The sequence below is a fragment of the Homo sapiens genome, chromosome 4, assembly GCF_000001405.40.
Source record: "Homo sapiens chromosome 4, GRCh38.p14 Primary Assembly".
Classification (NCBI taxonomy): Eukaryota; Metazoa; Chordata; class Mammalia; order Primates; family Hominidae; genus Homo; species Homo sapiens.
In genome coordinates, this window is record NC_000004.12 from 139,550,555 (window position 1) to 139,562,996 (window position 12,442).

A 12,442-nucleotide genomic window follows, 5' to 3' on the forward strand; every position below is an offset into this window, starting at 1 on the left:
CAACCAAAACAATAACAGAGACTTTCCATGAGAAAGAGAAGAGACTAGGTTGCAGTGCTCTTACATCTTCTTTCAACATTAGTGCTAGAACAGAATCTGACATAACTTTTTCAAATGCCAATAAGATCATTAATATTTGGACAATAAGATCATGTAATATTTTGTCATGTCAGTAAGTCAATTTAATGCACAGGGGTACTGATAAACAGAGGAGAAAAAAAGTGTATGAATCTACTATGATCGGCATTGGGTTATATGCTTTCCTGTTATCAAATGTAAGCCTCAAAACAGTCTCCCATATTCTCATCTTACAGATGAAGACACCAATGCTTTATGAGACTTGCCCAAGAGACATTGCCACACTGAGTGTGCTGATGAATACTGAAAGCCCCTTCTCCAAATCCTTTAATTCCCATTCTAGACACTGGCAAACTAGTTGAACACACTCTTCCTTGGTGATGGTAAGAAGGTACCTCTAAAAAGGTAGGAACCCCCAGGTCCCTGGCAGGGAAGTGGAAGAAGGCTTTGTGGTTAAGATCATTCACACAGAACCACCAGGTTTCCAACAGCATGTCCCGGTTGCAAAGTCCTATCTCTTCCAAGTGTTATCTAACTTGAAGGGAAACACTAGTCCTCCTTGCTCTGCATGAGGTCAATTTGTAAAATGCGCCAAGTCAGCCAACAGCCTTCCAGGCGAGTTCCCACTGAACAGAGGGTGAATACCAGGCCCAAGCAACAGGGAAAATTAACTTGAATGACTGCTCTGTGTTTTTAAGGTTGCCGGAGCTAATGTTCTGTGTATCTGTCTGTAGCATGATTTTAAATATTTACAGAAGTTAGAGAAAGGAAAAAAGTATCAGTTCACAAGTCTACTTTTTCACTTTATTCTATGGTCATTATCTATTGAACAGATAGAAAGTTACAATTTTCCCCTCTAGTTACTTCTGAGGGAGCTTCTTCCTGAATCTGATAAGAGCCAGGCCTATATTCTAAGCAGCAATGTACATCTCAATCTCAGCAAAGTAAATTCCCTCTGGATCAGACACCCAGCTGCTTAATGTCTCAGGCTTACTCACAAGAGATCTGAGAGTGGCGTGTGAGTATTTCCCTTAGAACCAGAGACCCTACGCACACACTGTTGGTTTTGTACACTAGAACATTGCTTTAAAAAACAACAATTAATAGGCCGGGCGCGGTGGCTCATGCCTGTAATCCCAGCACTTTGGGAAGCCAAGGTGGATCTCTTGAGCCCAGGAGACCAGTCTGGGCAATACAGTGAGACCCCATCTCATTAAATAAATAAATAAATTGAAAAACAAAAAACAACAATAATAAAAGGCAAGCTTATTCTGTTTAATGCAAAGAACATGCCCTCCTGGTGATGCATTCAATCACCAACTCTTAAAAACATAACTTGATGTTTTGATCTTTTTAAAATTTTTTAATTTTTTAGGTTTTTAAAAAATTATTTCAACTTTTATTTTAGATCCGGGGGTACATATGAAAGTTTGTTACCTGGATAATTTTTTTTAAGGGTAATTGTTGGCAAGGGTTCATCTATTAATTGTGAGGGTCATGATTTTAATGTGTGGCCCACACAGAAAGGGTGCTACAAATACACTTCATATGCATTTTCCCTAGATACAGGGCATGAGCACTCTTAGCAGAGACAAGTAGAATCTGATATTAGGGGGAGTGTTAATAAAAAATATTCTTAATATTTTGAAGGGGTTGTGGCAGTGGAACACTGAGCTGCTTATTTTCATTCTGGCCCCTTGTTCTGATATTTCCCCTTTTTGATCATTCTTCCTCCATGTCTCCTACACATTTCCAGGCCCTTCTGTTTTTCCTGCCATCATAACTGTGCATCTGGACCACTGCAAAGAGACTTCAAGGTACCTCATCTGCTGTGTCAGCCCCTCTGACTGTCCTGCTGGCCACTGCCTGTTCCTCTTCCCGGAGTGGAGCCTTGATCCTGTCATTCCCTTTTCTAAAGAGCCCCCACGGCTTCCATGGCTTCCAGCACACAGTCCATGCTCTCAGCCTGCTACCCAGCCTCCTTTCCCTGTCTTCCCCTCCACTTTTCTCCTTGTAAGCTCCATGTTGCAGCAAAATCAAATGACTGTTCTCTGGGTGCACCCGCAGAATTCCATGCCTCCGTGTCTTCACTCACAAAGTTCCCCTCTCAACCTGACTCAGCTCTATGGCACCTCTTCTGGAAAATCTTTCCCCTTTGACTTCCCTAAGCTGGAACTAATTTTTACTTCCTCTCAACCATCACAATTCATCTGTATAGATATATTTATTTGAAATCATATTAGAGACCACATCATATTCATCTTTGTATCTATGGGTAGACAAAGAAATAGATGCTGTGATAAATTTCTGTTTCCAGATGCCCAGGGGAATAACACTGGAAAACTAAACATCACTCTTCACTGAACCAGTGTGTCTCAAAGTGTTTTCCAAAAGCCACACCAGAGCTCAGGTGGAGCTCTGAGGTCCTCTGAGGCCCAGGGCTTGCTGCCTTCTTCCCACAAGAGCACAGCCAACACAGTACACAGAACACTCTCTCGACACAGCCTCCGCCACTCCCCTCACCTCAGGGAATTGTCCACTCTGAGTTCAGAACTTTCCCAGAGTTACAATCATACCCTGACAGAGAACCAAATGCACATGATATATAAGACATTTAAACTCAATCCTGAAGAGACTAATTTCTTCCCCAGAGTAAATCTCTAATGAAGAAGAAAAAAGATAGCTATTGCAGAGGACACAGGTTCTTTCTCCCCAAATACATTTTTCTGAAAGTCACTGAACTCTGTCAGAACCAACCTCTACAGAGTTACACTGATAAAAAATGGCACTGACATAATATTTAACTGTTGCTTCCAAACTCAGTTATCAAGTGTTTCATAAATTTGACTAACTCATTAAAAATAAAAAATGTAGGAAGACAGTTTGGTCTGGTGGAGGGCTGTTTTGGAAGTCCAAGCCAGTCTCTCCACCTCACTGAGTGTTCTTGGATTAGTCCTTAACTTCTGTATGCCTCAGTTCCCGCCTCTGTAAAATTAGGATAATATTAGTACCCACCTCATAAGACTGAATAAGACTGAATGGATAATGTCTGTGAAACACTTAGCACAGAGCCTGCACTTAATAAGAACTAAACAATTATAGCAATGATAATAATAGCTATGACAATGAAACTACTGAGAACAGAGGCTCTGTTTATGGAAAGAGGTAGATTAGTTGGTACTTAAACACTAAGATATTCAGACTAGCTTCTCTTTGGGAAAGAACAGAAGCAGTTTATACCAGTCCCCTATGTAAGTGTTAGATGTTATGTAAAGACTATTGCAAACAGCACTAAAAAGGCCAAGAATGGCTGGACAAGAGTGCACGCACAGGTACGGTTTACTGCATGTGCACACACACACTCCTGGCACTGTGCAAGTTAGAGCCTGAGATGCTTCTAGGGGCTTTTAAAGATTCTGTGCTGCTCTAATTGTTTAGTTAGCTACAACTGAGTGACCATGTGTCCCAGATTGCCCCAGACATTCAAGGCTTAAGCTACCTGCCCCAGCATCATTATTAATAGTGTGCCCTCTCATTCTCAAGGGGGTTCTGATTTTGGACAATAATGTACATAATTACCCTATAAAACAAAACCATCCCTGTTTATATGAACTTCCCTGTTTTCGAATCCAGTGGATGTTCTCAAAAAACAATACTGCCATTTCTAAAGCTCTTGGTCACAGTCTGCAAAGGAGCCTGAGGACTATGGACAACTGGACATATGTTTGTAAACAGCTTCAAAGGGGAATGGATGTGGTTTAACATGGAGAACAGTACCAGCAATTAAGGGTTTGTATTTAATTTTTACAAGTAAAAGTAAACGTTGAAGAAAGAGAGCAAGCCCTAACAATCTGAGATCATTTTTCCTTTATCTTTCACAACATGGAGGCACAAGAAGTCAACAACTTTTAACTTCTCAGAAGGCTCCCTGTGGATCAACTCAATCAATGTATCTGGGCCTCACTCCAGTAAGCCCCAACATTGGCTTTATTTATTAGAGAGATAAATAGCTCTGTGAGTTCACAACATGGTGAAAATTTTCTTAACAAAAACCACAGTCTTTAATTGGCTTCGAAGTTAGATGAAGAAATAAGTTTTAATATTGGCATTACATTGGATACTTTTCAAGAGTTCAGAAATATTAGTCTGCTTAATCTCCCCTTAAGATCTCAGAAGCACTGCAAAGGGAGTTATGTTTATGAAAACATTAAAACTGATTTTTCCCTAGTGTAACAATAACCATGTATCCTTATGCATTTGTAGTGTCGCCACTTTTTTTCTTTATCCTTCGTCAGAACTTGTGTTTATACAAATCAGACAGAAACCAGATTCAACCAACAGCTAAAAATTATTTACTCACATGCTTAGTTTAAAACATTCTGGTATCATACCACACCACACTGAAAAACATCACGACGTACTGTATGGAGTGGAACCAAATAAATACGCTAAAGAGTATTTTCCAGTATTCGCTGTTACAAAATCATAACATCCTATGATACAAACAACGAGATTGTATAACGTCCCCACATCGTTTTTTCAGAACTAACAAAAAAAAAAAAAAAAAGGTGGAGAAACTCAGCAAAACAAAGTGGCGAGAAAAGTCGGGGGAGGGGCGGTAGAAGAGAAGGGGCGGAGAAACACGACACTGAGGCGGTGATATCACCCACAGCCAACGGCATGGAATTCAGAAAGTTAAGTGTCACCCAGCAATCTCGGTGCGGACTCGCGGCGCGCCTGCACAGCGTGGCGGCTGCATCCCAGCCAAGCAGGAAGGGGGAGGGGGAGGCCTGACTGAGTTCGCTCGGGGGCAGCTGAGGGGAGGGCTGCCCGCCTCCCGGACGGCGCACGTTCGAGTCCCGGGTCGGGAGACTTGTCCGTCGCCCGACAATGATTTCATCTTTTCGGAAGAGCTGCCGCCTGGGCCGCGGCTGCCACGTGCCTGGTCTGGCCCCGTGCGCTGCGCCGGGGGACCTACCCGGACGGGGCCGCGGCCGCCGCGGGGCGCAGAGGCAGCAGAAGGGAAGGGCTGGCGGCCGGGAGGGGATCGGGGTGGCCAAAACTGGGCTAGGGGATTGCTCCGCGGAGTCCGCCGGCCTCAAGGGGCTGCCCTGCGGAGTGCACCCACCCTCCGCGCCCAAAGGCGGAAAGGCCAGAGCGCGGGGCAGGTTTCGCAACTCCGAGGGTGGATGCAGGCTGTGGCCGGGCGGGATGGAGCGGCCGTGCGTTTCCAGCGCCCCCGGCCTGGCGGAGCCCCATTCTCGGCCTGCGCCCCGCCGCGCAGTGCGCGCTCCCGGCGGCGTGACCGTGGCTGTCGGGCCCCCGCCCGAGCCGGGCAACCGGCCACCCGTGTAGGGGACAGTGGCGGCCGCGGGGCCCGGCGCCGCGCTGTTCGCAGCCCGCCACTCCTTCCGCGCTCCAGGCCCTCTGCGCCTCCTCCCCCGGCCCCGGAGAAATGCTTGTACCTTCCACCGCCTCCTCCACCATCTCGTCGTCGCTATCCATGGCGGCTGGGGACACTGCCCAGCTCGGGGCTGCGCGGCTGCCTCCCGTCCCTCTGGGTGCTCCCGGCGGCTGAGCGAGCTCTGGGGCTCGCGAGTTTGGAGGAGGAGGAGGAAGAGGAGGAGCAGTCGGGGCTGGCTCGCACTGCCTCCCCCTACAGCCCTTTCAATTCCTTGGCCTTCAGCTGCTGCGGCAGCAGCCGTCGTCCCCCCTCCCTTCGCCCACTTGCCCCTCGCCTCGGAGGCTCCGGTGTGCCGCCTTGGCCGCTGCCGCTGCTGCAACTTTCTCCTGTAATACCCTCTCTTTGTTATCGAGCAGCTGATCCGCTGACATCACCCAGCGCCGGTGCGCTCCCTCCCTCGCTGATTGACAGTTCCCTGTCCCTTTCCAGAAGTAAGGCTCCTTAAAACGAAAGGCGCTCCGGGGCCGCGCGTATTCCGCGTCCCAGCCAACCCGCCTCCGGCCCGTCAGCGTTTCTCTTTTGCTTAGGTGCGGCTTGGCGCGCCCCGAGCGCTCAACGCGGTCCTGGGCGCTGCGGGCTTCTCGCGGACACTTGGACCGCCCGTAGGGGCTCCGAGCTCCCGACCTCCCGTTGTGCCGGGAGCAACTTGAAAGTCCGTCGTGCACTGTCCGTGTTCCCTCGAGACAACCTCCAAAGTGCCAGGGAAGCTAAGGAAGCGTTTCTGACGCTCTGGCGCCTGGACTTCCTCTCACCCTCGCCCCCACATCACCCCGTCGCCACCGGGAGCTGCACGAGTGCGACACGCAAGGGAGCGCAGGTGTCCTCGCGGTCCCGCATCACATCCGCAAGCCGATTTCCCCAGCTCGGGGGCTGTTATCTGGCCCGGATTCCGCAGGATGGCGGGTCCACCCCAGCGCCCCCACTCCCCGCCCTCCTTCGGGTCGCCAGGCCCTCGGGTGATTCAGAAATTCATCAAATCCAAATGGCAGCGGGCTCTCTGTCAGGCAGGAAACAAGCCGCACCGAAGGCTCGGCAGGTTCCTCCTTGCTGCTGTGGTAATGGAAAAGGAGCCGCCGAGTGGAGCTAACGAGGAAGGAAGGACCCTCCGTCTGGCGCGCCTCTTTCCCGCGCCTCCCGCCCTGTACGTGTGATGTCCCCAGCTGTCTCTCTGTTTCTCCAAGTGCCAACCACTTCACAGATTCAGGCGTCCTCAAGTGGAGAAAACCATTGGGCACCCGGCTTCCGGCCCGGCCACTTAGTGTCGTTATGGCGCTGCCTCTTACAGGTGGCGGTAAAGGGCGACTGTAAATAGCCGATTAAACAGATGTAAATGTACACAATGTACCGTGGAATTACCGGGTGCCGCTCTGGGCACCCGCCAAGAACAGCTACTGCATGGAGGGGAGGAGGGAGCAAAAAAAAAGTAATTCCATTTTGTTTTCTGATCAATGAATGAGACTTTGGGGATTTCAAAATACTTCCAGCGCCCAGGAGACTACTCCTTGCTTTTGGCTCTGTGCTTAAATGGTAGATATTTTTGTCAAGTATTGCCGGCTTGTTTCTTAAAGTCAGCTTTTCCTCTATGAAAAAGAGAACAATGCTAGGGACATTAGCCCCACACACTTCCAGGAATTTCAGCCCCTTTGACTGTTTTAGAAAGGGGAGGGTCCTGGACCAGAAGTTAGGAGACTTGAGTCCTGGTGCTGCTCACCTGCAGAGGTGTCTTGGGAGCCCAGCCAGCCAGCCTGAATTCCTCCAGATTAGAGGCTTAGTCTACATTGACATAAGGTCCTTGGGGCTTAGGCTAGAGCACTCTGAGGTTCTTTGGCTCAAGCAAGACACCCTCTAGCTTAGTCTATACCTCTCTGAAGTCTCTTGGCTTAGGTTTGACCTCCTTAAAGTCCTCCAGTGCAGATACTGGGAGTCCAAGGCTAAACAGAGAAGGTGTACGTGCAGTGGAAGATGAAAGAGCCACTTTAGGTTACATCATTTTCAAACATGAACCACAGAAACAGGATTTTATATCTGATTTTTAAAAAGCCATCATTTACTGAGCTCGGTCACTCACTGGTTTTGAATTATATGATATTTTTTCTCATTTAACCTTTTTACATATCACCCCCTCCCTTGCATATTATACTGGTGCACTAAAACATACCAGATACTCGTCTTCCCCAGTTTCCAGTTGATTTTCAGGGTGAAAAACAATGCTGAAAGCTGAAGGAAGCAGCAAAAAGACTTTATTCTCTTACTCAAAGGCAGTGAGGCAGGGCTGGGAGGCTGGAAGAAATCTCTCAAGACGTACAGAAGACACAGTTTCATGGTGGGTGGGTACGTGTGGGAGTGAAGGAGAGGGGAGGAATCATGTTGCAAGTGTCCAACTGTCCCCTTGGTGCTGTGAGGTTTTCCCAGCCTGTACTAAGCACCCAAACTGTCAAGCGCTCCCTTTCTACCTACTACCTTGAGAACACCTGAAACCCTGCCTACGGCACCCCCCAACCCCGGCCCCCGCCGTCGGTGAAGCAGGGGTCCTCTGGACCTACAAGAGGCAGGGACAGGAAGGGAGCAGGGTCTTTCTAGCAAAGTCAGTAGTGATGCGGGGTCAAACTACAGAGAACCTTCACCAGATCTGCACATGAGGCAGGCAGCAGCAGGGACACAGTCCCATCCCTCTTCCCCCACCATTCATTCCTGCTGGCTCTGGGCCCAAAGCTGGGGCAAAATGTTTTTATGACTCTCTTAAGATCCACTTGTATCTTTACAAATCATGTTGTGTATGTTTCGAGTCTCCTTCTCTAGACGGACTGATTCTTATTTATGGTCCTAGAACACAACACAGTGCCTGGTACAGAATGTGGGTTAAGCATTGTCAGCAATGATTTTGCAGATAGGAATATTCTGTTTTATATAAACAGTGCTGAGGCTTTCTCACAGACTGGATTCTCCTCCTATGTTTTGGCAAAGTGCTTTGTTTCAGTTCAAATCTGAAGAGCATTTTTGAGTTGTTCTACTTTCCCACATCGACTGGCCCCAAATCTGCTTCCATCGCATTCTTTCCCACAGTTTTCTTCATTGAGAGCTGATTTCATAAACTCTCTTTCTACTTGGCTTTCCACCAGTTTCCCCTGTCGTACTCTGTCCCCACCAATGTGGTCATGGGCTAGAAAATCAATAAAACTCTTAATCACAAACAATGTGCAGCAGCAACAGCAGCAGCAGAAGTAGTGTGGCTCAGCTCCTAACTTGGCAGATCCCAGTGAGACAGAACAAGCTCTACCAGGGAGGAACGGGACCGCACAGGACATCCAACATCTAGGCTGGGTGAGACTTGCTTTCATGTTCACACTGAGAGTGACTTTTTTTTCCCTGTCTTTGGTCTTGAATCAGGAGGAGGGGTGACTTTTCTAAGCTGCTCTGGCTTAGTTTCCATTGCCTCCAAGGCTATATTCCTTCTCTTCATACCCAGCTTGGGAAACATAATTCCCTCTTCCATTGCAGCAAGCAGTCAAAATACTGAGTTAATTTTATTCATTCTACCACCCCTGTCTTTCCCTGGAGAAGGCTGGTGCTTACATACAAGACTGATATAACTTTTGCAATAAATATATTTTTACAAGCTTCTTGTATTTTATGCACCTTCCTACATTTAGGGGAAACAATTCTGTCAATTCGCTGCTATGCATGCTAAGCGAATTGTGAAACAAGTAGTGAATGTGGAACTTATGTGGGATTCACTACTGTTGGCTGTTACTGACTCCTCATCCTGCCCGCTGGCAGGGAGTGGAGGGGCCCAAGCAGTCTTCTGGGTCTCCATGTATTTGGGAGGGAGGAGCCTCTGAGACCTCAGCGGTAGGAAGTCGCATCAGAGCCTCTCCAGAAGCCCTGGTGGCTTTATGGTTGCTGGCCTGGCTCTGGTTTCCATCACTTGCTTACACCGCCAGCAGGATGACAAGGATAAAATTAGTGAAAGACCTTTTAAATAATCATCAAGTCTCGTTTTGGCACTGCTCACTCCTTCACAAGATTTTTTCCCACCAAATTAGCCAGTTTGATTGAGTTTTTGCTTTGTCTGTTTTGGTTCCACCAAGAACTAGCCAAGCAACTGGGCAATTCAGTTCTGCGGGGGCCGGGGGGGGGGCCTTCGTTTTCCCATCTGTAAATGAAGAGTTGGGCTACATAAATTCGAAGCTCAAACCTTCTCTGTCCACCTTTTCTGGAGAAAAGGTAAATAGAGCCTGAGAAGCCCCAGGAAAAGGCACATAAAAAGGAAATGGGAAGAAGCCAGGGCAACTCCAACAAACTGAATACTCAAGTCCTCTCACGTTAATGGCTCTATCTGGGCAGGCAGGTGAGGGGAGAACCTTTATCTTGACTCTAGGGAGGGAAGCATGGAAGTTTTAGGAGAACCAAGGTTCCTGGGTTCTGAATCACTGAGTCACTAATCAAGTGGCTAACTGTGTTAGTGACAACTGCAGAAGCTGGAGGGAGGGGCTGGGAGAGGAGCAGCGAGGAGGAGACGGGTGGGGGAGGAGATGGGGATGAAAGGGAAGCGTTTGCAGCTTGTGGAGCACTGGGAAGAGCAGGGACATCAAGGGCACCAAATAAAGGTCCAGGGAGCAAAGAAAGAAATGGAGAAAATTCATTCTGCTGGAAATAGACATGAGTGCAGTCAGGAAGAAGACTTACAGATTCAGGGTGACCTGATTTGATTACAGCAACAGGAAGTGCAAGAGAGAGAGGGCAGAATAACCTGACCTAAGGAAGTGAATTAAATAATAGAGAAGACACCACAGTTGCCATGGTATTAAAATACCTCATGCCACATTAAGCTTCCTCTTTCTCTTTTGCTTGATTCTTGTTTTTGCAACATGTTAATGTTGCAATGACATGTTAATGTCATTGCAGGGTATCCAGTAAACTAAATTTAGACTTTCTGGGGCGGGGAGGGGAGGGAAGATGCAGCCCAGATCTCCCTGTTTGGGTCGACTCTGGGCCAATATTGTTCCTTCACAGAGTTCTTGGGGTTTTTTGCATTATGGGATATGAAAACTCTTATGTCAGGCTTGGGCCTAGTGAAGCTGCTGAGTGAAATGATTGAAAAAAAAAAAATGAGGCCAGGCACGGTGGGTCACGCCTGTAATTCCAGCGCTTTGGGAGACAGAGGCAGGTGGATCACCTGAGGTCAGGAGTTCATGACCAGCCTGGCCAACATGGTGAAACCCTGTCTCTACTAAAAATACAAAAATTACAAAAATACAAAAACTGGTGGTGCATGCCTGTAGTCCCAGCTACTTGGGAGGCTGAGGAAGGAGAATCACTTGAACCTGGGAGGCGGAGGCTGCAATGAGCCGAGATGGCATCACTGCACTGCACTCCAGCCTGGGCCACGGAGTGAGACTCCATCTCAAAAAAACAAACAACAACAAAAAAAACCCTCACACACACACACACACACACAAAGAAAAATTGGAAATAGTTTTCAAAGGGGCATCTGTTTTAGAAATTACTTTAGAAAAACAATAGGATTGCAGAAACTTGAAAAATAAAGACAAACCGCCACCAAAACCAAATGTGTTTTCATAGATATTATTTTCTCTAATTGTTTTTGAAAAATTACTTTACTAGGCTAAAATTAAGATTATTGAGTCCTGCAATTGGTCCTCTGCAAAAGTAGACATTGCAGAGGGCAGGTACATGGTATACTCTTTTGACACTACAATATCCAGGATGGGCAGAGGAGTATTTCCAGCTGACCTATTTACCACAAATGTCATAACATTCATCAAGGGTCAGCTCTTGACCTTCCTCAAGTGGACTCACATTAACTAGACCCCGAGAGACTGAGATGTATGCCTGAATTATGATGGACAGATCAGAATACTCACACTGTCAGGGCAAAAGATCTCTCTATATAAATAAATGCACTTGAGAAGACAAATTCCATCCAAAAGTTTGCTTAGTTATCTGGAGTAGAATGAAGGACATTAGTTGTGTGGTCCACAAGACAAATACTCTGATACAGTGTTCTGAAAGAATGAGGCTGCCCACCCATCCCACTCACCTCTGCTTAGATGGGCCCTATGGCTTCTGAGGCTTCAAGCTTCTTTCTCCGTGCTCTAGTTTCTCCAAACCTGATTCTCCACACAGCGTCCTATACAGCCCATTAGGCAGATTTACACTTTCTAAGTCATAATGACATTCTCTATCTTCCTGGCATTACAGCCAAGTCACTTTAATGGGAATTTGAGGTAATCCTCAAACTTCTCAGTCACAAATTGAGTCACTCTCTTGGTTTATGCCCACTGAATTCTAGTCAAAACCATTGAGTGTGCAGATTTTGGTAGTCAAACTTTCTGAGAGCAACCTGGTTCTCAAGTTCTTGGGAAAGCACCTCATTTCTGCTTCACAAGCCATCAACAGTGGGCCAACCTTCTTAGGCTACCATGATTTCTGAGAAAGAGACCAGAGACATATTAAGACCCACGTGGCCTGTCCTGTGATACAGTCATCCAAGTTTTCCTGGGCACTCAGCTCAAAGATATTTCTATTCTGTGCAGGAGTGGAGAGGTTGGCTCTTTGCTATGATAGCTTAGGCAACGGAACGCCACCTTGAGGATGCAGATTCCATCTACTATAACATAGATGGAGGGCAAAGTGTCCTCTTCATTTTCCAAATGGGACTGTCTGGCTTTGAATCCAATATCCAGAAATGAAAATACCCATGTGGTCCTCTTCACTCAGTCACAAACAAAGACAGGTTGATTAGAGTGTTTCTGGGACCTGGCACTGAAATGACAACCCTCGATCTACAGGCAGCCCTCACCCGGAGGTGCTTGATGCTAAGCCAGCCCTTCCTGTATGTATTTGCTGGAGACCTGTCTTGCAGCCTCTTTGGATCTG

At 47.2% G+C, this 12,442-nt stretch overlaps 1 protein-coding gene across 4 annotated transcripts in view, besides 6 other annotated features; it reads right to left on the minus strand.

The window, feature by feature from the left end:
• Nucleotides 1-5,665, minus strand: part of SETD7 (SET domain containing 7, histone lysine methyltransferase) — a 63,246-nt gene extending 57,581 nt beyond the window's left edge. For all 4 annotated transcript variants that reach the window (NR_131339.2, NM_001306199.2, NM_030648.4 and 1 more), the window contains exon 1: nucleotides 5,544-5,665. Coding sequence is in view for 3 of the 4 variants with exons in the window: in NM_001306199.2 (NP_001293128.1) it covers nucleotides 5,544-5,583 (40 nt within the window). In the remaining variant the exon portion in view is untranslated. The remainder of the gene's footprint in view (nucleotides 1-5,543) is intronic.
• Nucleotides 543-1,043: an enhancer, noted in NCBI's record as "NANOG-H3K27ac hESC enhancer chr4:140472251-140472751 (GRCh37/hg19 assembly coordinates)". NCBI's record gives its function as "activates a minimal SCP1, AML or CMV promoter by ChIP-STARR-seq in naive H9 embryonic stem cells {active_cell/tissue: H9 hESC(naive)}" and the evidence as "EXISTENCE:reporter gene assay evidence [ECO:0000049][PMID:30033119]".
• Nucleotides 4,973-5,162: a silencer, noted in NCBI's record as "silent region_15703". NCBI's record gives its function as "represses an Ori minimal core promoter by ATAC-STARR-seq in GM12878 lymphoblastoid cells {active_cell/tissue: GM12878}" and the evidence as "EXISTENCE:reporter gene assay evidence [ECO:0000049][PMID:35858748]".
• Nucleotides 5,293-5,462: a silencer, noted in NCBI's record as "silent region_15704". NCBI's record gives its function as "represses an Ori minimal core promoter by ATAC-STARR-seq in GM12878 lymphoblastoid cells {active_cell/tissue: GM12878}" and the evidence as "EXISTENCE:reporter gene assay evidence [ECO:0000049][PMID:35858748]".
• Nucleotides 5,523-5,582: a silencer, noted in NCBI's record as "silent region_15705". NCBI's record gives its function as "represses an Ori minimal core promoter by ATAC-STARR-seq in GM12878 lymphoblastoid cells {active_cell/tissue: GM12878}" and the evidence as "EXISTENCE:reporter gene assay evidence [ECO:0000049][PMID:35858748]".
• Nucleotides 5,803-5,912: a silencer, noted in NCBI's record as "silent region_15706". NCBI's record gives its function as "represses an Ori minimal core promoter by ATAC-STARR-seq in GM12878 lymphoblastoid cells {active_cell/tissue: GM12878}" and the evidence as "EXISTENCE:reporter gene assay evidence [ECO:0000049][PMID:35858748]".
• Nucleotides 6,653-6,822: an enhancer, noted in NCBI's record as "active region_21927". NCBI's record gives its function as "activates an Ori minimal core promoter by ATAC-STARR-seq in GM12878 lymphoblastoid cells {active_cell/tissue: GM12878}" and the evidence as "EXISTENCE:reporter gene assay evidence [ECO:0000049][PMID:35858748]".